At 56.6% G+C, this 26173-nt stretch overlaps 2 protein-coding genes and 2 non-coding genes across 6 annotated transcripts, besides 18 other annotated features; 2 read left to right on the top strand and 2 right to left on the bottom strand.

Annotated features, from left to right (window-relative positions):
- Positions 1999-2293: a silencer, noted in NCBI's record as "tiled region #7883; K562 Repressive non-DNase unmatched - State 18:Pol2". NCBI's record gives its function as "represses a minimal TATA promoter and a strong SV40 promoter by Sharpr-MPRA in K562 cells {active_cell/tissue: K562}" and the evidence as "EXISTENCE:reporter gene assay evidence [ECO:0000049][PMID:27701403]".
- Positions 1999-2709: a biological region, named in NCBI's record as "Sharpr-MPRA regulatory region 7883".
- Positions 2064-2709: an enhancer, noted in NCBI's record as "NANOG-H3K27ac-H3K4me1 hESC enhancer chr19:39918693-39919338 (GRCh37/hg19 assembly coordinates)". NCBI's record gives its function as "activates a minimal SCP1, AML or CMV promoter by ChIP-STARR-seq in naive H9 embryonic stem cells {active_cell/tissue: H9 hESC(naive)}" and the evidence as "EXISTENCE:reporter gene assay evidence [ECO:0000049][PMID:30033119]".
- PLEKHG2 (pleckstrin homology and RhoGEF domain containing G2) lies at positions 2347-18093 on the bottom strand. 3 transcript variants are annotated; one of them, NM_001351693.2, is made up of 20 exons: positions 17350-18093; positions 16567-16697; positions 15502-15593; positions 15323-15423; positions 14348-14414; positions 14165-14211; positions 13762-13912; positions 13070-13207; positions 12657-12857; positions 11936-12028; positions 11759-11845; positions 10103-10136; positions 9910-10011; positions 9766-9813; positions 9649-9687; positions 9463-9479; positions 8474-8647; positions 7109-8030; positions 5880-7029; positions 2347-5524 (listed from the first exon to the last, which is right to left on the bottom strand). In NM_001351693.2, the coding sequence occupies exons 2-20, from the start codon at positions 16673-16675 to the stop codon at positions 5383-5385; spliced, it is 3714 nt and encodes a 1237-aa protein (NP_001338622.1). In that variant the 5' UTR covers positions 16676-16697; positions 17350-18093; the 3' UTR covers positions 2347-5382. The 3 variants fall into 3 exon arrangements, with proteins under 3 accessions (NP_001338622.1, NP_073746.2, NP_001338623.1); NM_022835.3 differs by having other exon boundaries at positions 2347-7029; positions 15502-15770; NM_001351694.2 differs by lacking the exons at positions 5880-7029; positions 7109-8030; positions 17350-18093 and adding an exon at positions 16871-16983 and having other exon boundaries at positions 15502-15770.
- Positions 17002-17061: a silencer, noted in NCBI's record as "silent region_10604". NCBI's record gives its function as "represses an Ori minimal core promoter by ATAC-STARR-seq in GM12878 lymphoblastoid cells {active_cell/tissue: GM12878}" and the evidence as "EXISTENCE:reporter gene assay evidence [ECO:0000049][PMID:35858748]".
- Positions 17172-17241: a silencer, noted in NCBI's record as "silent region_10603". NCBI's record gives its function as "represses an Ori minimal core promoter by ATAC-STARR-seq in GM12878 lymphoblastoid cells {active_cell/tissue: GM12878}" and the evidence as "EXISTENCE:reporter gene assay evidence [ECO:0000049][PMID:35858748]".
- Positions 17252-17391: a silencer, noted in NCBI's record as "silent region_10602". NCBI's record gives its function as "represses an Ori minimal core promoter by ATAC-STARR-seq in GM12878 lymphoblastoid cells {active_cell/tissue: GM12878}" and the evidence as "EXISTENCE:reporter gene assay evidence [ECO:0000049][PMID:35858748]".
- Positions 17922-18281: a silencer, noted in NCBI's record as "silent region_10601". NCBI's record gives its function as "represses an Ori minimal core promoter by ATAC-STARR-seq in GM12878 lymphoblastoid cells {active_cell/tissue: GM12878}" and the evidence as "EXISTENCE:reporter gene assay evidence [ECO:0000049][PMID:35858748]".
- Positions 18492-18541: an enhancer, noted in NCBI's record as "active region_14619". NCBI's record gives its function as "activates an Ori minimal core promoter by ATAC-STARR-seq in GM12878 lymphoblastoid cells {active_cell/tissue: GM12878}" and the evidence as "EXISTENCE:reporter gene assay evidence [ECO:0000049][PMID:35858748]".
- TRI-TAT1-1 (tRNA-Ile (anticodon TAT) 1-1) lies at positions 18502-18594 on the top strand. Its single transcript is given in 2 exon segments — positions 18502-18539; positions 18559-18594. It is a non-coding gene; the product is annotated as a tRNA-Ile (tRNA).
- Positions 18552-18651: an enhancer, noted in NCBI's record as "active region_14618". NCBI's record gives its function as "activates an Ori minimal core promoter by ATAC-STARR-seq in GM12878 lymphoblastoid cells {active_cell/tissue: GM12878}" and the evidence as "EXISTENCE:reporter gene assay evidence [ECO:0000049][PMID:35858748]".
- Positions 19062-19151: an enhancer, noted in NCBI's record as "active region_14617". NCBI's record gives its function as "activates an Ori minimal core promoter by ATAC-STARR-seq in GM12878 lymphoblastoid cells {active_cell/tissue: GM12878}" and the evidence as "EXISTENCE:reporter gene assay evidence [ECO:0000049][PMID:35858748]".
- Positions 20352-20671: a silencer, noted in NCBI's record as "silent region_10600". NCBI's record gives its function as "represses an Ori minimal core promoter by ATAC-STARR-seq in GM12878 lymphoblastoid cells {active_cell/tissue: GM12878}" and the evidence as "EXISTENCE:reporter gene assay evidence [ECO:0000049][PMID:35858748]".
- Positions 20734-21324: an enhancer, noted in NCBI's record as "H3K27ac hESC enhancer chr19:39900078-39900668 (GRCh37/hg19 assembly coordinates)". NCBI's record gives its function as "activates a minimal SCP1, AML or CMV promoter by ChIP-STARR-seq in primed H9 embryonic stem cells {active_cell/tissue: H9 hESC(primed)}" and the evidence as "EXISTENCE:reporter gene assay evidence [ECO:0000049][PMID:30033119]".
- Positions 21022-21081: a silencer, noted in NCBI's record as "silent region_10599". NCBI's record gives its function as "represses an Ori minimal core promoter by ATAC-STARR-seq in GM12878 lymphoblastoid cells {active_cell/tissue: GM12878}" and the evidence as "EXISTENCE:reporter gene assay evidence [ECO:0000049][PMID:35858748]".
- Positions 21084-21139, top strand: MIR4530 (microRNA 4530). Its single transcript, NR_039755.1, has one exon. It is a non-coding gene; the product is annotated as a microRNA 4530 (primary transcript).
- ZFP36 (ZFP36 ring finger protein) lies at positions 21355-23915 on the bottom strand. Its single transcript, NM_003407.5, has 2 exons — positions 23834-23915; positions 21355-23019 (listed from the first exon to the last, which is right to left on the bottom strand). The coding sequence occupies exons 1-2, from the start codon at positions 23855-23857 to the stop codon at positions 22063-22065; spliced, it is 981 nt and encodes a 326-aa protein (NP_003398.3). The 5' UTR covers positions 23858-23915; the 3' UTR covers positions 21355-22062.
- Positions 21587-22224: an enhancer, noted in NCBI's record as "H3K27ac-H3K4me1 hESC enhancer chr19:39899178-39899815 (GRCh37/hg19 assembly coordinates)". NCBI's record gives its function as "activates a minimal SCP1, AML or CMV promoter by ChIP-STARR-seq in naive H9 embryonic stem cells {active_cell/tissue: H9 hESC(naive)}" and the evidence as "EXISTENCE:reporter gene assay evidence [ECO:0000049][PMID:30033119]".
- Positions 22225-22863: an enhancer, noted in NCBI's record as "H3K27ac-H3K4me1 hESC enhancer chr19:39898539-39899177 (GRCh37/hg19 assembly coordinates)". NCBI's record gives its function as "activates a minimal SCP1, AML or CMV promoter by ChIP-STARR-seq in primed H9 embryonic stem cells {active_cell/tissue: H9 hESC(primed)}" and the evidence as "EXISTENCE:reporter gene assay evidence [ECO:0000049][PMID:30033119]".
- Positions 22864-23501: an enhancer, noted in NCBI's record as "H3K27ac-H3K4me1 hESC enhancer chr19:39897901-39898538 (GRCh37/hg19 assembly coordinates)". NCBI's record gives its function as "activates a minimal SCP1, AML or CMV promoter by ChIP-STARR-seq in primed H9 embryonic stem cells {active_cell/tissue: H9 hESC(primed)}" and the evidence as "EXISTENCE:reporter gene assay evidence [ECO:0000049][PMID:30033119]".
- Positions 23552-23751: an enhancer, noted in NCBI's record as "active region_14616". NCBI's record gives its function as "activates an Ori minimal core promoter by ATAC-STARR-seq in GM12878 lymphoblastoid cells {active_cell/tissue: GM12878}" and the evidence as "EXISTENCE:reporter gene assay evidence [ECO:0000049][PMID:35858748]".
- Positions 23872-24321: a silencer, noted in NCBI's record as "silent region_10598". NCBI's record gives its function as "represses an Ori minimal core promoter by ATAC-STARR-seq in GM12878 lymphoblastoid cells {active_cell/tissue: GM12878}" and the evidence as "EXISTENCE:reporter gene assay evidence [ECO:0000049][PMID:35858748]".

The raw sequence follows: 26173 nt of genomic DNA, 5'->3' as shown, positions 1-26173 counted from the left end.
CAGCCTCTGCAGCCAATAGGGAAGTCCCGCACCTAAATGCTCAGGGGGAATGTTTTACAACTTGAGATTTTCTGTCCACTTGCCCACTTTCTATGTATCTACCCTAGTTAATACAGTAGCCAGTGCTCAGAAGCCATGTATGGCTACCAAGCGGGGCTGCACATATTAGAACATTTCCGTCATCAAGGAAGGTTATATGGGACAGCACTGACACAGGATACATAAAATGAGTCGGGGGCTGGGCCCAGTGGCTCACGCCTGTAATCCCAGCACTTTGGGAGGCCAAGGCAGGTGGATGGCTTGAGGTCAGGAGTTCGAGACCAGCCTTGCCAGCATGGCGAAACCTGGTCTCTACTAAAAATACAAAAAAAAAAAAAAAGGCTGGGCATGGTGGCGGGTGCCTGTCGTCCCAGCTGTTTGGGAGGCTGAGGCAGGAGAATGGCTTGAACCCGGGAGGTGGAGGTTGCAGTGAGCTGAGAGATTGCACCACTGTACTCTGGCCTGGACGACAGAGCGAGACTCCGCCTCAAAAAAAAAAAAAAAAAAAAGCCAGGCGTGGTGGCTCACATCTGTAATCGCAGCACTTTGGGAGGCCAAGGCGGGTGGATCACCTGAGGTCAGGAGTTGGAGACCAGCCTGACCAATATGGTGAAACCCCGTCTTTACTAAAAATACAAAAACTATCTGGGTGTGGTGGCGTGTGCCTGTAGTCCCAGCTACTCAGGAGGCTGAGACAGGAAAATTGCTTGAACCCTGGAGGTAGAGGTTGCAGTGAGCTGAGACCTTGCCGCTGCACTCCAACCTGAGCCACAGAGCAAGGGTCCGTCTCAAAAAAGAAAAAAGGCCAGGCACGGTGGCTCATGCCTGTAATCCCAGCACTTTAGGAGGCCGAGGTGGGTGGATCACGAGGTCTGGAGTTTGAGACCAGCCTGGCCAACATGGTGAAACCCTGTTTCTACCAAAAATACAAAAAAATTAGCTGGGCGTGGTGGCACTCGCCTGCAATCCCAGCTACTTGGGAGGCTGAGGCAGGAGAATCACTTGAACCCCAGAGGCAGAGGTTGCAGTGAGCCAAGATCGCACCATTGAACTCCAGCGGCAGAGGTTGCAGTGAGCCAAGATCGCACCACTGAACTCCAGCGGCAGAGGTTGCAGTGAGCCAAGATCGCACCACTGCACTCCAGCCTGGGCAACATAGGGAGACTCCGTCTCAAATAAATAAATAAATAAAATAAAAAGTAAAGGAGTGGGGGGCCGGGCGCAGCAACTCGTTCTTGTAATCCCAGCGCTTTGGGAGGCAGAGGCAGGCAGATCACTTGAGGTCAGGAGTTCGAGACTAGCCTGGCCAACACAGTGAAACCCTGTCTCTACTAAAAGTACAAAATTAGCTGAGCATAGTGGCACGTGCCTGTAGTCCCAGCTACTCTGGAGGCTGAGGCAGGAGAATCGCTTGAACCCAGGAGGTAGAGGTTGCAGTGAGCTGACATTGCGCCACTGCACTTCAGCTCTGGGCGACAGAGCAAGACTCCTCCTCAAAAAAAGAAAAAAAAAGAAAAAGTAAAGGAGTGGGGTTCATGGAGCATCAGGTAGGTGGTTGTTGGAGGTGGCCACATCCCTGTGAGGTTGGTGACACAGGATGAGAAAACTACCCTAGTGGCAAAATGTTTTGCGGCTCGCCAAGTTTTGCATCGCAGCCAGAGTTAACTCCGGTTAACTGGTTTAGCTGGCATTAACCTAAATGTCCCAGAGAGGACAGCAGGCACCATCCTTATCCTTTCGGAGCCTGATTTAGCTGTAGCTCTGAGGAGGACTGGGCTCAGAACCAAGGTAGGCCAGCAGGAAAGGTATTCCTGAGAAGGCGACAGAGCTGGGGCTGGGAAGCAGCAGTAGGAGTTGGGCGGGAGGGAGGAATGGAATTCACAGATGCCAGGAGGAGGGGTGGAGGCAAGCCTGGCGCCCATGGTTTTCCCAGGGGGTCCAGAGACCCCCTTATTGAGGCTCCTGGCTCTTTCCCAGAGGCACAGCTGGGACACATCTGGACTGGAAAGGGGCTTGCCTCTCCTTCCCAGCTCCAGGCCTTGGAGTAGACAGGCCCCTTCTCCCTCCCTGCCTCCTCGAATACCGGGAATTCCGACGCCGCTGGGAGCCTGGGCCAGGCTGAGAACTTTCCTTCAGCCGGGAATGTGCAGCTGGGGCGGAGGAGGGGAGCGTCGGCTGCGGTCCTGACCTTGGGGAGGCTCCAGTGGAGTGGATCACTCCAGGCTGAGGAGTTCACCTCCGTCACCACGGGGCCCCCGGGACACAGCCTCGGCCCTGGTGTACAGTAGCCAGTCAATAAACAGTAAGTGAGCAGAAGCCAGCAGCTAATATTTATTGAGCCAGGCCCTGTGCTGGCAACTGTGCTCAGCTAATTATCAGAATCCCCTGAGGTGTGCACAGTACCAGGCCACAAGCCTCATGCGGGCAAGGCAGTGTTCTCTCATGTATCCCCACTGGCAAGAACAGCACCCGGCACAGGATAGGCACATTTATTTATGTATTTCATTTTATTTTTTTGAGACAGTTTTGCTCGTCTCCCAGGCTGGAGTCTAGTGGCGCAATCTCGGTTCACTGCAACCTCCACCTCCCAGGTTCAAGTGATTCTCCTGCCTCAGCCTCCTGAGTAGCTAGGATTACCGGCACCCACCACCACGCCCAGCTAATTTTTTGTATTTTTAGTAAAGACGGGATTTCACCATGTTGGCCAGGCTGGTGTGGTCTCGAACTCCTCACTTCAAGTGATCCACCTGCCTTGGCCTCACGAAGTGTTGGGATTACAGGCGTGAGCCACCGCACCTGGCCAGGACAGGCAAATTTAATGGTAGACTTAAGCCAAGCTGTGTGGATTCGAGTCTCAGTGCTGCACCTTCCTAGCTGTGCGACTAGGCAAATCCCTTAGCCTCTCTGTGCCTGCCTCAGTTTCCTCACCTCTAGACTGAGGATTAAAAAACATGCTCACTTGCATATTAGGAATGTAATGAGGACAGTGAACGAGCTTATATAAAGCGGCTGTAATGCTCATAGTATGTGCTTAGTACCCAGGAAATCTCAGCTTATTTGCTGCTAACTGATTGCTAAAAATTCAGATTCCTGGGCAGGGTATGGTAGCTCACGCCTGTAAACCCAACACTTTGGGAGGCCGAGGTGGGCGGATCACCTGAGGTCAGGAGTCCAAGACCACTATGGCCTGGCCAATATGGCGAAATCCCGTCTCTACTACAAAATACAAAAATTAGCTGGGCGTGGTCGTGGGCGCCTGCAATCCCAGCTAGAGGCAGGAGAATCACTTGAACCTGGGAGGCAGAGGTTGCAGTGAGCCGAGATCATGCTATTGAACTCCAGCCTGGGCAACAAGAGCGAAACTCCGTCTAAAAAAAAAAAAAAATTCGGATTCCCAGCCAGGAATGATGGCTCACGCCTGTAATGCCAGCACTTTGGGAGGCCGAGGCGGGAGGATCACGAGGTCAGGAGATCGAGACCATCCTGGCTAACATGGTAAAACCCCGTCTCTACTAAAAATACCAAAAAAATTAGCCGGGCGTGGTGGCGGGCACCTGTGGTCCCAGCTACTCGGGAGGCTGAGGCAGGAGAATGGCGTGAACCCGGGAAGCGGAGCTTGCAGTGAGCCAAGATCGTGCCACTGTACTCCAGCCTGGGCAACAGAGCGAGACTCTGTCTCAAAAACAAAACAACAACAACAACAACGAAAAATTAGCTGGGCATGGTGGTGCACGCCTATAATCCCAGCTATGTCGGGAAGCTGAGGCATGAGAATTGCTTGAACCCAGGAGGTGGAGGTTGCAATGAGCCAAGATTTTGCCACTGCACTCAAGCCTGGGTGACAGAGTGAGACTTTATCTAAAAAAAAAAAAAAAAATCAGATTCCCAAGCTCCTCCTTCCCTGGGGATCCTGATTCAATAGGTTGGGACTAGATACTGGGGGATCTGTGATTTGAATGATGCTCCTAAGCAAGTCAGAGGTTCAAATATGTTTGGGAAGTGGAAGGATATGCTCCCTAAATCTTTCAATGATCCCAGGAGGGAAGTACTGTTGTCTTCATTTTGTAGATGAGAAAACCGGCTCAGAGGGAGGACCCACACCAAATAAGTAAAGATGGGACTTGAATTCACAGCCAGGACACCAGGGTGCTTCAGAGAATCCTAGGGGAGCTTACATAAATAATGTGCTAAAGCACAAGAGGCTAAGTATTTGATGAAAGTAGCTAATATCATCACCAAAGAAACCGTTTAAATTGTGCCTCTCACTGGGCATACCACTGCTGGAACAAGGGGGCAGACAGAACCTAACATAAAAGCCTTTTGTCTCCACGACCTGAATTATTTTGCTGGGGGAGGGAGCATGTGGATGAATTGTAGAGGCTGCAAACTGCGGGGAGGAGTGAAGGGATCTGAGGTATGTGAGTGGGTACAAGAACTGGGATATTCAAGAGGAACTGACGGGAAGGATGCCAAGGGAAATCAGACAGATGTGGGACAGACTTATCCCAGAGCCCCAAAATTGATCTCCCCCGTATCAGCATGGAATTGTCTCTGAAGTATCATAGTACTAAGACCCCGGAGAGTCCAGTGAGGGAGGGATGGGGTATGTCGATGGATTGGGAGATGGCTGGGTGAATATGTATGGATGGCAAAATGAGTGGATGAATGGACAGATGGAAATATGGAGGGAGAGACGGACTGATGAACGGAGTGCTGGATGGAGAAGATGGGTAAGTGGGAAGATGGATAAATGGAGGGATGGAATGCCAGATGGGGTTAGAATGATAAAGGGATGGGTGGGTGAATAAGGCAGACAGTTGGATAAGCAAGGCAGATACGTGAGATGATGGATTGGAAGATGGGTAGATGGAGCGGGAAAGCTAGATGGAGCAATAGCCAGATGGATAGGTGGAGAGATGGCAGGGTGGGTGAGATGAACGGATGGTGGGAGACGTGAACTGTATAAATTGCCAAGGGAATGGATTTCTAGTGTCTACTTGAAGCAAAGCTTCTTAACTTGGCTTTCCTGGATGGGCATCAAGCAGTTCACACACACGCCAAGTTATAGTGGGTCCATTTTCCAATAATTCTCAAAGGAGTCTGAGATTCCCCAAGCTTTCAGAACCGCTGATTTGTTCTGTGTCAGACCTTCCCATTCATTGTCTTGTCATCTCCCACAGCCTCCAGAATGGGAAAATACACATCATTGCATGAAAGAATCAGTATTAACAAAACATTAATGACATTCCTCCCTTCCCCATCCCTGTGGATCAAGGCAAGAAGGGCCATTCGCCGATGCAGATACCAGGAGTTGGAAGGCCGCAGCAGTTTTGAGGCCTGCGTTCAGTGTCTGGACTTCCAGGTCAAGTTCTGAGGGTCTATGGCATCTGGCTGAAATCCTTGCTTCAGGGAAGCCTCATGTCCTGGCTCACATGTGGAAGGGGGCATCAGGAGCCCCCTGGGCCCTGTGAAGGCCCATAGATTCCTGTGTGGAGGCCAAGAGAGCAGGGTGGTTCAACCGGACCTGGGCCTTGGCTGGCCGCAGCCGCCCACCCCCGCCCACGTGGATGTTAACCGTCGTGGCATAGCTGAGCCGCCTGGCTGGGGGAGGTGGTGGCTGGGGCTGGGGGGGCGGCGAAGATGCCCGTGACGTGGGAGCAGAGGACCAGGAGCCCCGGGAGGCTGCGGGGGCCCCTCCCCCAGGCCCCTGCCGCCGAGCCAGGCTCTGGCTGATATATGAGGCTGCCAGGTATCTGGAGAGGGCAGCTGCATTGGGGCCCAGGAGCTGACGGCTGGAAGGTGGGGGACTATGAGGTGGCGTCAAGTCTGAAGACTCCAACCTGGCAACGTGAGAGGCTAAGGAGCCTCCTGGTTTGGACAAAACCATGGTGGTCTGAACTGGGGTGGGTGAGAGGCCCTGAATGTCTAGAGAGCCTCCTCTCTCAGGTAAAGGTGTGGCAGCTGGAACATGGGCATCTATGAGGCTCTTCTGCTCCAACGAAGGTGTGAGTTTTTGGACCTGTGTATCTGTAAGGCTTGGCTCCGGAAGTGGAGGTGCAGCCGCTGGACCCTGGATGTCTGGGAGGCTTCCCTGCTTGGGTGAAGTTGGGAGGGCTTGGACCCAGATGTCTGTGAGGACTTGTGGCAGGGGCAAAGGTGTGGTAGCTGGAACCTGAGTGTCTGGGAGCTCCTGGGACAAAGACAGTGGGGCGTTGGCTGGGATCCGATGGTCCAGGTGGCTTCCATGTGCAGGCAAAGGTGAGGTACCTGGAATCTGAAGGTCTGGGAGGTGACATGGCAAGGGTGGTAGGGTGTCGCCTGGGCCCTGGGGATCCAGGCTGCTTCCATGCCAAGACAAAGGCTGGATGGGTTGACTGCAGACAGGGTCTGGGCCCTGAACATCCCTGGAACCTCCTTGCTTTGTCAGTGGGATATTGGTTGGGCTCTCGCTGTCTAGGTGACCTTCTTGCTTGGGCACAGGGGTGGTGACTGAAACTGTGAAATCAGAACAAATCTCCTTGGGCAAAGCTGGAGTGGTGGGAACGTGGATGTCCGCACAGTGTCCCTGCTCAGGACAAAAGGCGGTGGATGGAGCTGGTATAACCATGTGACTTCTATGCTCAGGCAAAGGAGTGGTGGCTGGAACTTGGATTTCTGGGTGGCCTTGATCAGAGAAAGTTGTAAGAGCCGGCACCTGGAGGTGCAGGGGGCCTTCTTGCTTGGGCAAAGGTGTGGCGGCTGGAGCCTGGACATGCCGGGAACCTCCTTGCTCAGGCAAAAGGGTAGCAGCTGAAACGTGGATGCCCGGAAGGTCTTGCTTAGGCAAATTGGAAACATGTAGACCCTGGCCATCCGGGCTGCCTCCCTGCTTTGACAAAGGTATGGCAGCTTGAACCCAGACAGCAGGACCCAGGGGGACAGACTCCTGGGCACATGTCAGTGGGAAGGCCAGCTCACATACCAGCACGTGTCCAAAGGCAGGCAGGAGCCCTGAATGCGAAAAGAGGATCGAGTCAGGACCACTACTCCAGCGGGGACCACCTCTGCCAACCACGTACCCGGACCTCACCTGGCTCTGCCTGCTCCTGGGGCAGACAGGGGGATGGCTGGGGTTGGGCCAGAACCCGAGGCCGGCGGCGCGGGGCATTGGCTGATGCCCGAGTCTCCGCCCGCTGCATCTGCTGGATCCGCTCGCTGTAAAGCCGGGCCAGCTCTCGCACTCGGGACGCCGTCCTTTCTGAACTCGGGGCTCCTGCCTTCCCGCTCCCGCTGTCTCCACCCAGATCCGAATCCTCCAGGATCAGCAGTGGCTCTGGGAAGCCTGGCCGGGCCAGCTGTCCCTGTTCCAATGCCTGCCAGGCGCTCCGGATTTCTGAGCAAGAGCGGAATGCCAGCTCATCTGGGAATCCCTGATGTTGGGTGACATCCTGGGGCTGGAAGTCTGTGAATGATACCCCTTCTTCATCCTCCTCTGGCCCTGCCTTGCCTCCTGAAGGCGGCTCTCCCAGTTTCCCAGGATTGCTCCCAGAAAACAGTTCTCTCCTGGTGGCTGGAGCCTCAGCTGGTTCCTGCAGAGGCCCTTGGAGCCAGGAGTCACAGGAGAGGGTGGGAGTGCTAGACAGACTGGGGGTGTTGGGGACACTAGGTATGGCTGGAAGGCAGGGCATCTCAAAAACATCGGAAATGTCAGAGAGACTAGGAAGGCGAGAACCTTCGGGAATTTCACAGCGGCTGGGAATTTCAGGAAGGTTGGGCACGTCAGGAATTTTGGTAAGGCAGGGAATGCTGGGCATTTCAGCTGCAATGGAACTTTCGAGCCCTTCCAGGACGTGGAGTGGGGAAGGCCCCCGTTCATCCATCTCCAGCCCTTCCTCTTCCTCCTCCTCCTCTTCTGAAGAGTCCCGGCTGGGCAGGGCTTGGAATGTGAGGGTTTCGCTGTCGCCAGGCACCTGGGAGTCTCCGGGGAACTTGGGAATGTCATGGGTGGACGGCTATAGTGGGCACAGGAGAACAAGCCAAACATATCAGCATGGTAGCTGGGTGTGGTGGCTCACGCCTGTAATCCCAGCACTTTGGGAGGCTGAAGTGGGCGGGTCACTTGAGGTTACGAGTTCGAGACCAGCCTGGCCAACATAGTGAAACCCTGTCTCTACTAAAAATACAAAAAAAAAAAAAAAATTAGCCGGGTGTGTTGGCGGGTGCCTGTAGTCCCAGCTACTCAGGAGGCTGAGGCAGGAGAATCGCTTGAACCTGGGAGGCAGAGCTTGCAGTGAGCCGAGATGGCGCCACTGCACTCCAGCCTCGGCAACAGAGCAAGACTCCATCTCAAATAAAAAAAAAATAAAGGTATCAGCATGGGCTGGCCTATCTGGTCCCTGGTCTGTGTGCCCACACCCAGAGGCCCAAGGACACCATGATGGGACAGCCAGCTCACCCCTGGATCTCGAAGGCCTCGCTGATTCAGCAGTTCCAGGATTTCTTCAGTGATTGAGGTCCCAGAGGGGTCCAGTGTTGGGGGTCCAGCATCCTCCAGGTCCTCAGGGGGTGCAGAGCCTGAAACTGGTGGCTGAGATTCTGGAGGGTAGAGTTCCCCTTCGCTGCCAGCGTGCTGTGAGGAGGGAAAGCAATGGAAGGCAAGAGCCAAGACTCCTCCCTCACATAGAGGACCCCAAGTCCCAATCCCCTTCTTTTGCGTTTGTTTGTTTTGAGATGGAGTCTCGCTCTGTCGCCCAGCCTGCAGTGCAATGGCGCCATCTCTGCTCACTGCAATCTCCGCCTCCCGGGTTCAAGCGATTCTGCTGCCTCAGCCTCCTGAGTAGCTGGGATTACAGGCGCCTGCCACAATGTCCAGCTAATTTTTGTATTTTTAGTAGAGTCGGGGTTTCTCCTTGTTGGCCAGCCTGGTCTCAAATTCCTGATCTCAGATGATCCACCTACCTCGGCCTCCCAAAGTGCTGGGATTACAGGTGAGCCACCGTACCTGGCTCAATTTTTAAATTTTTTTATTTTTCTCTTAAAATTTTTATTTATTTATTTGAGACAGGGTCTCACTGTGACCCATGCTGGAGTGCAGTGGTGTGTCCCAGCTCATTTTGCAACCTCTGCCTCCCAGGCTCAAGCAATCCTCCCACCTCAGTCTCCTGAGTAGCTGGGACTATGGGCATGCACTAGTGTGCCTGGCTAATTTTTTTGTACTTTTTGTAGAGATGGGGTTTTGCCATGTTGCCCAGACTGGTCTCAAACTCCTGGGCTCGAGCAATCCTCCTGCCTTGACCTCCCAAAATACTGAGATTACAGGCATGAGTTACTCTGTCTGGCCCCAATCCCCTTCTCATTCAGACCCAGGATTTTGGAACTCAAGCTCCCTTCTCCATCAGACCCAGAAGTCAAGGTGCCCAGACCCTATCTCGAGATATCTCTTACCTTGAATCCAGGCTTAGCTAAGGATGGAGAGATGAGAGAGAGAGAAGCATTAGTGAGATGTAAGGGAAAAAGAGTGATTCCCCCATAACTGATGAGCTGAAGCAACCACCCCTCCCCAACCCGCCCCAGACATCCCACCGGGCGACAGACAGGGATGGACCAGGCTGAACCGGGGCAGTCACTGACCGTTCTGTGGGAACATGACATAAGGGTCCTTCACCGGCTCTGCGGGGAGGACACAGTGATGTCAGGAGCCCAGCTCCCACCCCGATGCCTGGATCACCCTTAGGGGTGAGTGCTCACCAGACTGCCTGCGGCCTCGGCGAATCACAGAGGGCCCAGGAGATGGAGCTGTGGGAGGGAGGGCCAGAGCCCTGTGTGAGCCCAGCTCCCGGGTCCTAGGGAAGTGGGGCTGAGGGCTGGGACTCAGGGATCCACCGCCTTTACCTGTGTTCCTTCGCCCAGGGGTAAAACTTCTAGCATCTCGAGGTCGAGGAGACCCAAGTGGGGGTGTCAGGGGCTCTAGGACAGGCTTACTTTTGGGGGCACCTGTGGGGAGAGTTTTGGGGCTAAAAGCCAACTTTTTCTTGGAAGTAATTCGTCTACTTCCACACCCTCCCAGCCCAAGGCCCCAACTCACAATGCAGGCTGTTTTCAAGGAGAACTTGCTTTGCCTGAAAGACAGGAGGATGAGGGCTGAGGTGGGTCGATCTTGGAGTACCACAGAGAGGATACTTTAAGCACCGTAGTCATGCCCATTAATGGGTGCTGTTTTTGTTTTTAGATCTTGCTCTATACGCCAGGTTGGAGTACAGTGGTGCAATCATAGCTCACTCCAGCCTCTACTTCTGGGATCAAGCGATCTTCCCACCTCACCCTCCTGAGTAGCTGGGATTTCATATGTGCACCATCACATCCAGCTAATTTTTTTTTTTTTTTGAGACGGAGATTTTGCTCTTGTTGCCGAGGTTGGAGTGCAAAGGCGCGATTTCGGCTCACTGCACCCTCTGCCTCCTGGGTTCAAGCGATTCTCCTGCCTCAGCCTCTTGAGTTGCTGGGATTACAGGTGCCCGCTACCACACCCGGTAATTTTTGTGTTTTTAGTAGAGACGGGGTTTCACCATGTTGACCAGGCTGGTCTTGAACTCCTAACCTCAGGTGATCCACCCGCCTTGGCCTCCCGAAGTGCTGGGATTACAGGCGTGAACCACCACGTCCAGCCCAGCTATTTTATTTTTATTTTTTTGAGACGGAGTTTCGCTCTTCTTGCCCAGGCTGGAGTGCAATGGCATGATCTCGGCTCACCGCAAGTTCCGCCTCCCAGGTACAAGTGATTCTCCTGCCTCAGCCTCCCTAGTAGCTGGGATTACAGGCATGCGCCACCATGCCCAGCTAATTTTTCTTTTTCTTTTTTTTTTTTGAGACAGAGGCTCACTCTGTTGCCCAGTCTGGAGAGCGCAGTGACGCAACCTAGGCTCACTGCAAGCTCTTGCCTCCTGGGTTCACGCCATTCTCCTGCCTCAGCCTCCCGAGTAGCTGGGACTACGGGCACCTGCCACCACGCCTGGCTAATTTTTTGTATTTTTGGTAGAGATGGGGTTTCACCATGTTAGCCAGGATGGTCTCGATCTCCGGACCTCGTGATCCGCCCGCCTCGGCCTCCCAAAGTGCTGGGATTACAGGCATGAGCCACCGCGCCCGGCCTAATTTTGTATTTTTTAGTAGAGATGGGGTTTCTCCATGTCGGTCAGGCTGCTCTTGAACTCCTGACCTCAGGTGATCCGCCCGCCTTGGTCTCCCAAAGTGTTGGGATTACAGGTGTGAGCCACCGTGCCTGGCCAGCCCCAGCTAATTAAAAAATGTTTTTTAGAGACAGGGTCTCACTATGTTGCCCAAGCTGGTATCGAACTCCCGGGCTTAAATGATCCTCCCACATCACCCCCTCGAAGTGCTGGGATTATAGGCATGAGCCACCACAGCCAGCTGATGGGTGCTTCTATTGGTCAAGCCCATGACGTGGCTGGTGACCATTACTCATCACCACAACCCTAGGATGAAGGCGCTTTCATTCCTCTAGGTGAGGAAGTTAAGGCTCAGAGAGGTTAAGTTACTTGCCCAAGGTCACAAAGCAGGGACATGGTAGAGCTAAGATTCAAACCCAAGTAGCGGAATTCTGCACTTTTAGCAATCACATTATAACAGACTGCTCTGGCATTGGGCAGGGGCGTCTCTTAGTACTATTGGGGGAGGGTGTCTCCAGCACTCAGAGGGCCCCCGGCTGCGGCAGGAGCTGTACCTTGGCAGGGATGGAGGCAGGGTGGTTCTCAAAGAAGAGGCGCTGGAGACAGTGAATCCACAGCCTCTTCTCTTCTTGGTTCTTGGCCTAGGAGTGGGTTGGAGTAGAGTCAGGGGGCCAGGTGTGAGGTCTCGAGGCTGGGGGATCCCTGCCAGCCTGATCCCACTACATGCTCACCTGGAGCAGGTGTCTGTGCTTGGGAATGGTCAGATCAGACACCTTGAACCCTAGAGGGTCTCGGGGACTCTCGCTCACGCTCAGGTTGCAGCACTGGAAGGAAAGAGAGGGGTAGCAAGCTCAGAGTCCTTGGGCTCAGTGATGCCCCTTGTACGGAGACACCCTTGGAGGTGTATCTGGGTCCTCCTCCCTAGGAAGATGCATCCCATAAGGCTGTATGGTGGGTTTCCTCTCCCTTTTTTTTTTTTGAGACAGAGTCTTGCTCTGTCACCCAGGCTGGAGTGCAGTGGCATGATCTTGGCTTATTGCAACCTCCGCCTCCTGGGTTCAAGTAATTCTCCTGCCTCAGCCTCCCCAGTAGCTGGGATTACAGGCACTTGCCACCACGTCCAGCTAATTTTTGTATTTTTAGTAGAGACGGGGTTTCACCACGTTGGCTAGGCTGGTCTCGAACTCCTGACCTCAAGTGATCCGCCCGCCTTGACCTCCCAAAGTGCTCGGATTACAGGAATGAGCCACCACGCCCAGCCTTCTCCTTTTTTTTCTTAAGTGGGGCAGCTCTCATTCTATACACTAGAAAGAAAGCTTCCCTTGGCTTCCATTCTCTAACTCAAGAAAATGTGGCAGGGTCCCCTGGCCCACACTGCCGGGCACACAGATACAGGTATATGGGATATACTTTGTAGGTAGTATTCTAGCCCCACCCCATCCCCAAACTCACGAAGATGTGGCCTTTGTAGGTGTACTCCAGCCCCCTGCGCTTGGCCACCAGCAGCATCCGAGAGAACAGGAAGAGCAGCCGCTCACCCCCTCGTAGCCGGGGGCCACCCCCTCCGCCTCCTCGGAACGCGCCCTCCAACACCAGTTCCCCAAAAGCACTGAGCTCTGGTCCGGTCCAGCCACCCAGCCGCCGCTGCACTTCCTGCCGGGACCCCGCCAGGTGCGCCGGGGCGCAGAGACAAGCATGGGTAGGTGGCACACACATACACACCAAAACAGGGGGTTAGCAACAGGGCCATGCTGTCCCAGCCAACCCTCCAAGGCTACCTCTGAGGCACTGATTTCCCCCCACCCGCCCCAAGGCCCCCTCGCTCACTCCCTCATCCAGCAAGCCCCAGCCCACCCTGGGGCCACCTGGAGGCGCGCTGCATGCTCCTGCTTGCGCTTCATGTCGTTGATGTACCAGGCAACCGCTGTCATGGACACAATAGCTTCCTCCACCATCTCGCGACCCCCAGTGCCTGGGCCCTCCGCCCAGTGCTTCCCTAGTTCCTGTCAGGCAGCCACCAGGCACGCAGGGATGGGGAGAGAAACAGAGAAGGAGAAAGAGAATGAGAATAACAGGAGATGGAGAAATATAAAGATAGGGGCAGAGGCCAGGCGCAGTGGCTCATGTCTGTAATCCCAGCACTTTGGGAGGCTGAGGTGGGCAAATCACCTGAGGCCAGGAGTTCGAGACTAGCCCGGCCAACGTAGTGAAACCCCGTCCCTATTAAAAATACAAAAATTAGCTGGGCATGGTGGTGTGCGCCTGTAATCCTAGCTACTCAGGAGGCTGAGCAAGGAGAATCACTTGAACCCAGGAGGTGGAGGTTGCAGTGAGCCAAGATCGCACCACTGTACTCCAGCCTCATCGACAAGAGTGAAACTCCACCTCAAAGGGAAAAAAAAAAGCTAGGGCTGTGCGCGGTGGCTCACGCCTGTAATCCCAGCACTTTGGGAGGCCTTGCCCAACTCGTGGGGGGTCCATCCTCCAGATGAACCAACAGGTGGTCAAGGGACAGGACCTCCCCCTCCCCAGCCTGGCTCCAGGGGCCCCAGCTGACCTGCAGCAGCAGATGGTACTTGAGAATGCGCTGGACAGGTTTCAGCAGGAAGCTCTGCAGGGGCAGCGAGTGGCGAAGCTGGGCCTGGCGCTCCTGCAGCCACAGGGCTGCTGGCGGAGACAACGACAGCTCCCGGAGCAGGGCCAGGGAGCTGGGGGCACAGCACAGGTCAGTGGGGATTGTCAGTTCCAGTGGGCGGGGTCAAGAGGGGTTAGGGAGGGGCCAGGGTTTGGGAAGGGTCAGGGTCTGACAGGGGGCGGGGCAGTGAGGGAGAGGTCAGTTACTGTCACAGCCTGGCAGGGGTCGGTGCTGGATGGGTCGGGGGTAGAGGGAGGGTGACGGGTGACTGGCACATCAGCTTGTGGGCACAGCCTGAGGCCCAGCAGGGGCTCCTGCCCCTCACCTCGGGTAGTTCATGCAGTACAATGTGTAGATGTCAAAATCCTCGCTCTGCGGGTGACATGGGAGTCAGGGAGACCCCAGGTCCTGGCTTCCCACGACCCCCCTTCCAGCCTAGCCCAAGCCTGCTCTCCCCCCTCTACAAAGGCCCCATCCAGGACCGAGAGCCCCCCACCCCTCCACTCACCCTCTGCACGAAGCACTCGGCAATACCCCCGGCGCTGCTGCTGTTCTCCAAGTCCTCCAGGAGCTCGCTACAGGGGAGAGGGGAGGGTGAGGAACCGCCTGCCTTCACGACCCCTCCATGGGAGGCCTCCAGGAGGCTGAGGCCCCAATGGTCTGCTGGGGCTGGGGGCTTGCTGACTGCCAGCATCTCCTAAGGGGATGTCATGTCCGGAGGAAGGGTCCTCTGAGGGCTACACGGGGCATGGTAACCTGCTTAGACTTTGTCCCTGGACAGCTTCTCATTCCTCAGCTTGAACTTGTGTCAGTGCTGGCATGAGCCTAGGGGTGTTATATCATGACCCAAAGAGCTAGGATGATCTTAAGTTCCTGCTGTAATCCCGAGACCTCGTCAAGGTACTTGGAAATGTCATGATCCTTGGACCCCAGAGTCCTCCTTACCACAGTGACCAACCATCCTGGTTTGTCCGGGACTGAGCAGTTTCCTAGGACGAGGGCTTTCAGTGCTAAAACTGGAAAAGTCCCAGGCAAATCAGGCTTAGGGGGTCACTCGCATGCTCACGCTGTCTCGGCCTTCAGGCCCCATATGATTCTTGGATTCATCGTGAGCCCAGACCTGACACAGCCCCAAGGACTCGTCCTGATGCCGGGACCCTGTCCCAGTGTTTGGGCTTCATCCAGGTCCTCTGACTCCCATCCGCTATGCCCCTCCCTCACTCGGGGTCCTCCCATCCGCTATGCCCCTCCCTCACTCGGGGTCCTCCCATCCGCTATGCCCCTCCCTCACTCGGGGTCCTCCCATCCCCTATGCCCCTCCCTCACTCGGGGTCCTCCCTCCCAGTCGTGATCCCTGATCCTTGCCCAATGTCACAACCCCACGTACCAGCCTGGACAGGACACTACGAAGCTCCGAGGTTTGGATTAGGAAATAGACCCTCCAACCAATCAATGCCCCCTGCCTGTCCCCCCTGCCCCTGACCTGCTGAACTCGTAGATGTCCTCAATGTTGGCAAACAGCGTGCCCACCTGCTCCACGCTCAGCCCCAGGACCCCGCCGTCCAGCAGAGGGCCCAGGTAGTCCTGTTGGGATGACTGGGGTTATGGGGGCCAAGGGGCTGGCCTGGGTACCCACTGCCCTCTGGTGTCTGCCCGCCTTACCTCCACGATGCTGCGGAGGTCCCTGACATAGGCCCGTTCTGTCTCCACGATCTCCCGGGCCACACGCTCCAGCCTTGAGGGTCTGGCTGAACCTGGGATCCCCACCGGAGAGAGATGTAGGCGGATGGGAGGCCCTGGAAGGGGCTCTGGCCTGGAGGCTGAGCAGGCTGGAGTGGGCCCAGGGGCTGGATCCCCCTCAGAGCCCACTGTGCTCAGGGATGTGGAGCTCCCAGAACCTCGGGGGGAGGCCATGGTGGGGGCTGCAGGAGCTGCTGGGGTGTGGAACAGGAGGTCAGAGAAATCTCCCCATGCACGGACTTCCACAGCCTTTCATGCGTTCAGCCCACACCCTCACCCACACCTGTCCAACAGCTTTCCCACAGGCTCCTTCCTCCTCTCCCCACTGCCCTGTCTTGGTCCAGTCCCATCCTCTCCCATCAGGGTCCTCTCTGGACTTCTGGCCTCCATTTCTCTAATCCACCTCCATGAATCAGCTAGGTAGACATTTATTAATTTGTCTATCTGACTGTATTACTCCCGTGAGTGTAACCCCTTCATGCCCCTGGGGATAAAGTCCAAACTCCTCAGATCCACAGGGCACTGGGCAATGTGGCCAACACAGATCCCTCTAGCCAGTTCTCTTCCCACAGCCACCCCTCTTCTTACACTCTGGATGCCAGTGACACTCAACTTCTTTCAGTCACTTACATGCAGCCTTTTCTCACCGCTGGGCCTTTGCACATGCTGTTCCTTGCATGTAGAATACTCTTCCTTGTCTTTGCGCAACTCCTTCCCCCTAATCTTCCACTTCCCAGTTGAGATGTTCCCACCTCCAGGAACCTTCCCCTGACCTTCCGAGCTCAGAGGATCCACGATCACAGCCCTGACCACTCTGCCCAGCGCTGCCCCCTCTGGCCTGTCATTGCCTGGGGATGGGCCCGCCTTCCCCACCAGACTCGGAGCTTTGTGCGAGTTGGCCTGGGGTTGTCTCCATCACCCTGCCTTGACAGCATTGCCAAGGAATAAAAGCCCCACAGGCTCCGCCGCCCCTGCCTCTAGGCTCACCTGTCCGAGTCTCACACACGGTGCCACAGTCACACACTTCACCTCTTCGGCCACACCCGAGGCTTGGGCTAGGTTTGGAGAGGCTCAGTCCTTGGGCTCCCTCAGGCATGGCTGAGCGGCCCAGCAGAGTCCTGCAGAAAGAGCCCCTTCTTGGATATCAGGACCCCATGGGCCTCTCCGCCGCCCAGACTCACAGATGGGGGCTGGGAATTAGGAGCGTGGTGTAAATCCAGGGAGGGGCCCCTGGGAGTAACTAATGGGGGAGGCACAAAGTGACAGAAAGAAGGGGACAAGGAGAGAGAACCTGGCGAAAAAGATGGAAAGGCTGAGACAAAGAAGAGTGAGCGGAGCAGGAGGCGCAGAAGCTGCGAGTCCCGTTTGTCTGGGGCCGGAGGCTTAGGGATCCTGGGAACGTTTGGGCTCCAGCTGGAGCGGAGGGCGAGGGGCAGGGCTGGGAAAAGCCGTGGGCGGGAGGCCGCGGGGTCCCAGGGGAGGGCGGAGGCTGGGGGACCGGATGCCAGGGTCCTGCAGACGGCTCCCTCCCCCGCCGAGGGCTGCGCGCTGGGGCGCTGGCCCCGAGCCCTCGCACCCCCTCCGGCCGGTCTCTCCGAACCCCGATCGCCGTCCCCACAGCCACAGCCTCCCCAGCGCCTTCCCACACCCCTCCAGCCCCCAACTCCCGCCGGCGCCTCGGCTCGCCCCCCGCCGGCACGCCCCCTCATTGTTCAGCAGTGGCGCCGCCCCCTCCCCCAGTCCGCCTGGGCCCCTCGCCTCCCCCCTCACCTCCCGGGGAGCCTCCAGCCCCGGCTCGAGGCAGCCCGGCTCCTGCGCGACCCCGACGCGGTCCCCAGGGAGGTGCGGAGCCCAGACTCAGGGGCGTGAACTTCGGGCTCTCAGGCTCCAGGAATAGAATCTGGGGTCTCTCGGAGACTGGGGTCCCGCAGTCGGAATTTCTCAGTGTTCTACGTAGGGGATGCTAGGAGCCTCGACTCTGGAGTCTCAGATGGCGGCGCTGGGGACCCACATTCCTAAGTCTTCTAGGTAGGGCCGTGGGGTGGGGGATGGATTTCTGAGTTCCCCTAATTCTAGGGGCAGGAATGAAACTCCCTCCAGGTGGGAGCACAGGGGGGTCCCAAAGTCCTGGGTCCCCTTGAAGCGATGGCCGCTGCAGCCCGAAACTGGTTGGGGCGCTTAGAAGTCCGGATCTCAAGTTCCTCCAACGCGGGGTCTTGGGATCGGAGCCCTGGAGGGAGTCTGCGGTCCTGGATCCTGAGTTCTTGAAACGGGGATACGGGGCGCTCGGCCTCCAGGGTCTCGCGGGGTGACGTCCGGGCTCCCGGCTGCTCCAGGAGGGGGCGCTGCGCACCTGGATGGCTCAAGTCCTCCAGCCTGGGCGCCGGGGTCTGGACCTCGGGGTCTCTCAGGATGCGGTGCAGAAATTCCGGACGCCCGGGTCCGAGCCTCTGGACCCCTCGGGCTCCCGGCTGGGTGTCACGGGGCTCGTGTGACGGCGGCGGCGCCACATCTGGGGCGGGAGAGTCCGATCCCAGCTGTGAGGCGGGGGGCGGTCGCCCGGGGCTTCCCCTCCCCCGCTGTCGCCGGGGCTCACATCCTGTTCCCGCCTGCGGGGGGGGGAGGGGCTGCCTTCCGGCCGACCCGCCAGCGAAGGGTTAAGACCCCACCCCTTGTTTTGAATATTCATGAGGAGGCGTGTCCTTCTGGTAGGCGACACCCCTACATTCCAAACGCCTCGCGGACTTTTCCCTTTTACAGCAAGGGCCGCGAGGCGTGAGAATCCGGAACTGGCAATGCACTGTCTCCTATTGGTCAATGCAAAATGTTTAATTTGCATATATAACACAAGGCGGGGCCCTCCGGTGAGGTCACGTGGCTATGAACCACTGAAGAAGACCCCGGCGCAGGGGTGCGGCCGGAGCTCCAGTGGCGCAATCGGTTAGCGCGCGGTACTTATATGACAGTGCGAGCGGAGCAATGCCGAGGTTGTGAGTTCGATCCTCACCTGGAGCACTTTTTTTCCCCATCAGTTTTTATAAACTTACACATCTAATAAACCAACCAAAACATCTACATCACTTAGATGAATGAACGTTTCTATCTTTTGAATTATTGGGCTCAAAAGACTCCTAGGGCTTTGGCGACGGTCCTTTGGGTGTTCTGTATTGTAGGGAGGTGCCGTTTCCGTCCCAGCCACCAGGTGGGGGTATCGTCTCTTATTAGATGCTCTGGGCATGGAATTGTGTGCAAACAGTTTGACTTCTGTAGAGATGTGGGTCCTCGGCAAACTGTATATGACTCTGCCTCCTCTGTATTTCTCTGTCTTTTTAATGCCTCCTTTACAGATGAACATAGCTATCTGTCTTGGAGTTTTCGACCTCTGTTGAAAAGGAAAACTATGTTTTTGAGTCGACTTGTTTTTTCAATAAATATTGAACATTCACTATGCCTGGCTTCCTTTAGCTGTGTGTAATACAGCAGTGAACAAGTAGTCCCTGCCCCTGAGGACGCGACATTCTAGTGGGGAGGCAGATTGCTGTCAACATAAGAATTAAGTACATTTTAATGTTAGGTGGTGATGATAAATGTCATGGAAAAAGTCGAGCAAGGTAGGGAGGATGGGGTAGTTGGAGGTGGGGTGTGGATTGCAACAGCAGTGGTCAGGGAGGATCTCACAGAGAAGGCAACTTTTGAGCAGAGACATGAAGGAGGGGAGTGAGCCATGGGGACACCAGGGGAGTGTTCAGGCAGAGGGAACAGCTAGTGCAAAGCTCCTATGGATGAAGCAGACCAGACTTGGTAGAGCAGCTAGGAGGCCAGTGTGGCTGGAGCAGAGTGGCCAAGGGGGAGGGTAAGCGATGGGTGCCAGATTGTGTGGGCTGTGGGGAGGACTTCGGACTTTGACTTTTATGTGACCTGACTCAGGTCTCATAACAGGCTTCCTTTGGTTGTCTCGTGGGGGAGTGGAGAAAGGAGAGACTGAAGGCAGGGGCTAGAGCAGAGACTGGGGCTGGGGCTGCTATGAAGATGCAAATGGCAGACGATGTTGGCTAGGACCAGGGTGGGGGTCATGGTGGGGGCAGGTGGATAGTGGATCTATTTTGCAGGTGGATCAGACAGGATTGCTGTTGGACTGGGGTGTGGATTTGAGAACAAGGTGTCAAGGGATACTCCTGGGTGTCTGGCTTAAGCCCTGGTAGATGGTGAGAAGTGCCGTTTTCTTATATGAGGGATTTTTTGGGGAAGGGGCAGAGAATCAGATCTGGCTAAAGGAAGGACCAGAGATGTTGTTCTTTCAGTCTCCAAGACTGTTTCTGCAAATGTCTCTTCACTGCTTGCTCTTGGTCTCTGCCCCTCTGCTGCCTTTGCATCTCAGGGGTTCTGACTCCCTCTCGCCTGATCCTCTTCTACTTATTAGGGCCTGAGCCCTTTCCCACAAGGGAAGCAGTTTCCTGGAAGAGGAGACCAAATGTCAGTGAGCAAGGGGAGTGGGCCAAGGAGGCCTGAGAGCAGGAGGGAGGCTTGAGGAGGGTAGAGAGAAGGGAGAGGAGGGAAAGGGGCTTCAGAGGGAGAGAGAAGAGGAGAAGGAGTAAGGCTAGGGGGAGGAGGGGAAGAGGACAATGGGGAGTGGGAGGGCAAGGAAAGGGTGGAGAGGGAAAGAAGGACGGAAAAAGGGAGAGAAGGGAGACGGGAAGGAGGAGAAAGGGGGTAAGAGACGGCAGGATGGGGAGGCTGGAAGTGGGAGAGGAGTAATGAGGGAGGGGACAAATTGGAGGGGGAGAGAAGAACAGAAGGCAAAGGGTGTAGGGCGGGGCAGAAGGGTGCAGAGGAGGAAGTGAAAAAGAGGAGGAAGGGTGAGGGTAGGGAAAGGAGAGAAGAGGGAAGTGAGAGGGAGGAGGGAGGAGTGCGGGGCAAGGAGAAAAAAGAGGGGTCGCAGGGGGCGAAGGCTGGGCGGCAGGGCCGAGCCGCAGGCGCTGACGCAGGGCGGCTTCCGGGCGCGGGGCCCCGGGGTTGGTCCCGACGACGCTGGCCTTGTATGGTCTGAAGACGCGGCTCCCCCGGGGCCCCTCCTAGACGCGCGGCCCCTACCCACACGCCCTGGCCTCGCGGGGCCGACCCTGGTCGGTGTGCGAAGCCTCGGACTTCCAAGGTTCGGAAATGCCAAGACCCGGTAATTCCCGGGCTCCAGGGTCCCGGGTGGCCAGAAATCTGCAACTCCGAGCCACCAGGGGTCTAGAGTCTAAAGCGCTAGGGGATGCAACCTGTGACTCCCAAATGTTGAGATCCTAGCCTCTTGAGACCCTAAACCCGCTTCCCCAACATCCAGAAGGTGTCGAAGCCCCCCCGGAACCTCTAGTCCCGAAACGGGTTCCGCTACCCCAGGCTGCCCCGCCCCGCGCCCGCCCCCGCTCGCTCTGGGCGCGCGCCCCAGCACATTCCGTCCTCCCCACCCGGCCCCTCCCGCCTCCCGCGGCCCCGTGGGGACGGAAACATCCCGTCCCCGACCGCACCCGCCCGAAGCTGGGTCAAGGAGCCCAGCAGGACGGGAGCGCGGCGCCCCCGACGCCCGGGAACTGGCTCCCCCGGTTCCCATCTGGTGACCTCACCTGGTCCCACCCTTTCAGGTGAACGGCCAGGCCCGGTGACGTCACTTCCTGCCAGGTAAGCGCCGCGGGGCTCGGAGAGGAAGAGTTAACTGCACCCAGCTTCCAAAAAGTCACCCCCTCCCTCTCCATTCCTGTCTCTAGACCGCGAAGAAGCCAGGATCCCAGCTTACACTCAGATTGTTTATTTAAAAATGCCCAAAACACAAAAATAGACTTTTAAGGTAATAATATATATTACTAAATATATTATAGTCTACTTATAATAATTATATCGTCGTTTTCAATATTACAAAAAAAGGAAGAAAAATACAAGGGAAGCAGACGACCCAATATATATAAATACTATAAAATCATATTAGAATAAATAAAGTCGTCATAAATAAAGGGCCCATTGATTTATGGGTGGGGTTTGGCAACGGCTTTGGCTACTTGCTTTTGGAGGGTAATTTGAGCACCAGGATTCCCCCTCAGGAGAGGTTCCAGTTACCAGGAGACACTGGAACCTCAGGTCTATAAAAACTGGAGGGGCAGTGAAGGCCTATTATTCACAGCACATAAGATTCTAGGAGACAGATTTGGGCAGGGAAGAGGTGGGGGAGAGGGTTCATTGCCTCCCTTAAATATGCTACAATTTTTTTTCCCCCAAGAACCTCGGAAGACACTCCATCCCCCACCATCATGAATACTGAGCTTGCACACTTGGGGACCTGCCCCAGCGTGAGGTCAGGGGAGTGGGTTAATGCATTCTGGAAAAGGGGATTACTTGATTACTGTCCCCCAAGTCCCCACAGCCCTGGGGTCCATGCAGAGACCACAGTGCAAGAGACGTGGCTCCCCGCTGAGATCCAGCTGATCTGACCGGGCAGTCACTTTGTCACTCAGAAACAGAGATGCGATTGAAGATGGGGAGTCGCCGGGGGGCTGCCACGGGCTGGGGTGGTGCAAAAACTCCCGCCTCGAAGACGGGAGAGTCAGAGCCCCCCAGGCTGCTGCCGCTGCTGGCATATTCATCAGGGTCGGATCCCAGGGACTGTACAGAGGGGGTCCGAACCAGGCCACCCAAGGGCCCCCAGACGCTGATAGGAGTGGCCCTTCGGCAGGAGGGGCAACAGACTGGGGTGGGGTCTCTTCGAGCCAGGGGGGTGCCAGGGGCAGCAGAGAAGGCAGAGGGTGACAGTGGAAGGTCCCCAGGTGGTGGTGGGGAGCTGGAGGGCGAGAAGGAGCTGGAGGACAGGGAAGGGCCGGCCAGGCCTGGTGGTGGTGGTGAGGTCCGGCGGCCAGAGGGCAGGCCGGAGAAGCTGATGCTCTGGCGAAGCACAGGAGGGTGGCCCGGGGCCGCCAGGTCTTCGCTAGGGTTGTGGATGAAGTGGCAGCGAGAGCCGTAGGGGCAGCGGCCCTGGAGGTAGAACTTGTGACAGAGTTCCGTCTTGTATTTGGGGTGGCGATTGGCCTGGCGCAGCTCGCCCAGGCCATGGGCAAACTGGCACTTGGCCCCGTAGCGGCAGCGCCCACTCTCTGAGAAGGTCCGACATAGCTCAGTCTTGTAGCGCGAGGGGGTGGTGGAGGTTGCAGTGGGCGAAGTGGGTGAGGGTGACAGCTCAGGGCCCAGGCGGGGAGCCAGCGGTGCGAAGCCAGGGGGTGGGGGCACCCAGCCACAGCTGCGGCCCTCCACTAGGCTGGTGGAGCGGCCAGGCAGGCGGGAGGTGACCCCAGACGGGCTGGAGTCGGAGGGGCTCAGGCTCCAGGGTCCCGAGGAGCCCCAGCCTGGGCTGGACTCAGTCCCTCCATGGTCGGATGGCACGGGCACGTCAGGGCTCAGCGACAGGAGGCTCTGCGGAAATGGGTCGGTTAAGGCACCTGAAAATGCAGGGCGACGCCCCACCCCAGCTGCAGGGAACTAGAGCTTGCCAGGCCGGTTTGTGGGCTCCCCGCCTGAGCCCCACCCGCCCGCAGAAACCCCTGGGTTCCGGATGCCAGGAACCCAGAGTTGGAGGTTCTGAGTTTACCCACCACCGAGGCCTTATCCCGAGGGACCCAGGAATCCCGGCTTCCCCGGCTGGACCAAGAGGGGGACCCCGAAGTCAGGGCGCACCACTGTTTCCCAATTTTGGGTCTCTTGTCCTCCCCGGATATGACCCACGCGTCGGGATCTCCAGTTTCACAACTGGAGAAACCGGGCAAAGTTGACCTGGAAGTCCGGATTGCTTCGGTTTTAGGGTTCTCTGTCTCTACGGTCAGGGACTGGAGAGACAGAAGTCGGATCCCCCCACCCTGAGACTTCAGCCCCAGAGACGCCTCCGCGCAAAACCACGCCCTCAGCAACGACTAGGGGTGAGCCAGGTATGGGGGCCACTTCCGCCTCCAGGCAGCCTCGGTCTGAGAAAAGTTCTCCGACTTTCCACTTGCATGGGCCGCCCCACCCATGTTTGAGCGAAGAGCCGGGTGTCGCGGGTTCCATTTTCACCTCCAAATCACCAAGCTGGTCTGAGCGGGAGGCAGGGGCCCCAGGCTGGAGGGCGCGGCGCTAGGGAGCCCCAGTTGGAGAAGGGAGGCAAGCGTCCCGGGCTGGAGTTTGCGGCGCTAGAGAGGTGGGGACTCGGACTCAGGCATGCAGGTACCGGGGATGCCGTGCGGCGGGGACTCACCTCGTAGATGGCAGTCAGATCCATGGTGTAACGGTTGGCCATGAGGGGTGTCGGCCGAGAGTGGGAGCGCTGAAGTCAGGCTGAGGCTGGCACCGAGAGCCGGCTACTTATAGGAAACTGCAAGCACGGGGCGGGGCCGGGGCCGGGGCCGGGGGCGGGGCAGGAGGGGCGCTTCCCGGACGCGCGCCCCCGGCGCAGCCTGGCTGGCCCTGGACTGGTTCCCTTCCGCCCGGCCCTGGGCCAGGACGCGCCTGAGCTTGGCCGGTGGACAGCCGTGACCGAGCGGGGAATGCGTGGGGAAGGGGTGGGGGTGCGGATGGGGGGACGCCTGCCCAGTTTTCAAAGCTGGAGACTGAGGCTTGTAGAAGGAAACTGGGGCGGAGGTGGGGGCAGGGCCCCAGGGGCAATTGACAAGAGCAGAAGCCCGATGGGGGTGCGCGTGCGACACAGACGGATGGGGGCGGGGAGAGACGCAGAGGGGTACAGACAGGCAGACAGGCAGAGAGAAAAACATCGAGAGAGACACACACACCAAGAGACATACAGAGAGAGATAGACAGGGTGAGGAAGGGAGGGAAGACGGGGAGACAGAGACAGTCCCAGAGACAGATTCAGAGGGAGAAGAGGGTTGGGAGGATCACAAAAAGAAACAGAAAGGGGCTGAGCGCAGTGGCTCACACCTGTGATCCCAGCACTTTTTGTGTTTTTCTTTCCTTTTTCTTCTTCTTTTTTTTTTTTTTTGAAAGACGGGGTTTCCCTATGTTGCCCAGGCTAATCTCCAGCTCCGGGGCTCAAGCGATCCTCCCACCTCCGCCTCCCAAAGAGCTGGAATTACAGGTGTGAGCCACCAAGCCCGGCCAATCCCAGTACTTTCAGAGGATGAGGCAGGTGGATTACCTGAGATCAGGAGTTCAAGATCAGCCTGGGCAACAGTGAGATCCCATGTCTACAAAAAATACTATTTAAAAAAATTAAAAAGAAAAAGAAACTGGACAAAAAGGAGAAAGACTGTGAGAAATAAGCACTTACGGAAAGAAATCTGCAGAGCAAAGTGCCAAGAAAGAGCCAGCAGGCCTTGGAGGGGAATTCTCTGAGAACTGCCTGCCTTGTGTGGTCTCACTCCTAAACAGCCCAGACAGATAAGGAGACCTGGACTGCTCTCCCTCTCCCCACTTGCTGGGGTTGGGTGGGTGAGTGAGTGGGTTGGGTGGGGTCCAGGATACCTGGCAAGGCTGAAAAGGGGCCTCCTTTCCCAATTCACAGGGCGGCTCTAGCCCCCTCACCCTCGGGCGGATGATCTCTTCTAGGCTGAGTTAAGGAGAACTCACCTGGGCTGAGTTCTAAGTACTTTACGCACATTAATCCTAATGCCAGGTGGTATGCCCATTTAAGGCAGGAGGAAACCAAAGTGAAGTTACTCTCCTGCCCGGCTCACACCTGTAGTCCTAGCACTTTGGGCGCCCAAGGCAGGCGGATCACTAGAGCTCGGAGTCTGAGACTAGCCTGGGCAACACGGCGAATCCCCATTTCTACAAAAATGCAAAAATTAGCTGAGTGTGGTGGCGCACACCCTGTGGTCCCGCTACTCGGGGGCGGGGAGGGAGCAGGCTGGGGTGGGAGAGTCGCTTGAACCCAGGAGGCAGAGGTTGCAATGAGCCGAGATCAGGCGACTGCACTCCAGCCTGGGCCACAGAGCGAGACTCCCTCTCAGGGGGAAAAATAAAGTTACTCTCCTAGTTCGAGCTAGCAAATGGCACAGGCCTCATACTAGGGTCTGAAATTATGTCGAGGTTTGCCCTCTGAGAAAACTCAAGATTGGCAAGGTGGAGGTCTTTCACTATAACTGATGGTTGCATTGATTGAAAAAAGCTTTCAAAAAAAAAAAAAAAGGTCATCCTCAGTTGATGGCTGGATGGGTCTCTTATAGTGGGGTGTGCCTTCAGACTACATTTTCCTTTTTTTTTTTTGAGACGGAGTCGCGCTCTTTCACCCAGGCTGGAGTGCAATGGCGCGATGTCGGCTCACTGCAAGCTCCACCTCCCGGGTTCACGCATTCTCCTGCCTCAGCCTCCCGAGCAGCTGGGACTACAGGCACCCACCACCACGCCTGGCTAATTTTTTGTATTTTTAGTAGAGACGGGGTTTCACCGTGTTAGCCAGGGTGGTCTCGATCTCCTGACCTCCGTGATCAACCCGCCTCGGCCTCCCAAAGTGGTGGGATTACAGGTGTGAGCCACCAAGCCGGCCGGGCCTCCTTTTTTTTTTCTTTTTTGAGATGGAGTTTCGTTTTTGTTGCCCAGGCTGGAGTGCAATGGCGCGGTCTCAGCTCACTGCAGCCTC

The sequence above is a fragment of the Homo sapiens genome, chromosome 19, assembly GCF_000001405.40.
Source record: "Homo sapiens chromosome 19, GRCh38.p14 Primary Assembly".
NCBI classification, from domain to species: domain Eukaryota; kingdom Metazoa; phylum Chordata; class Mammalia; order Primates; family Hominidae; genus Homo; species Homo sapiens.
This window is presented reverse-complemented; position numbering and strand designations above follow the sequence as displayed.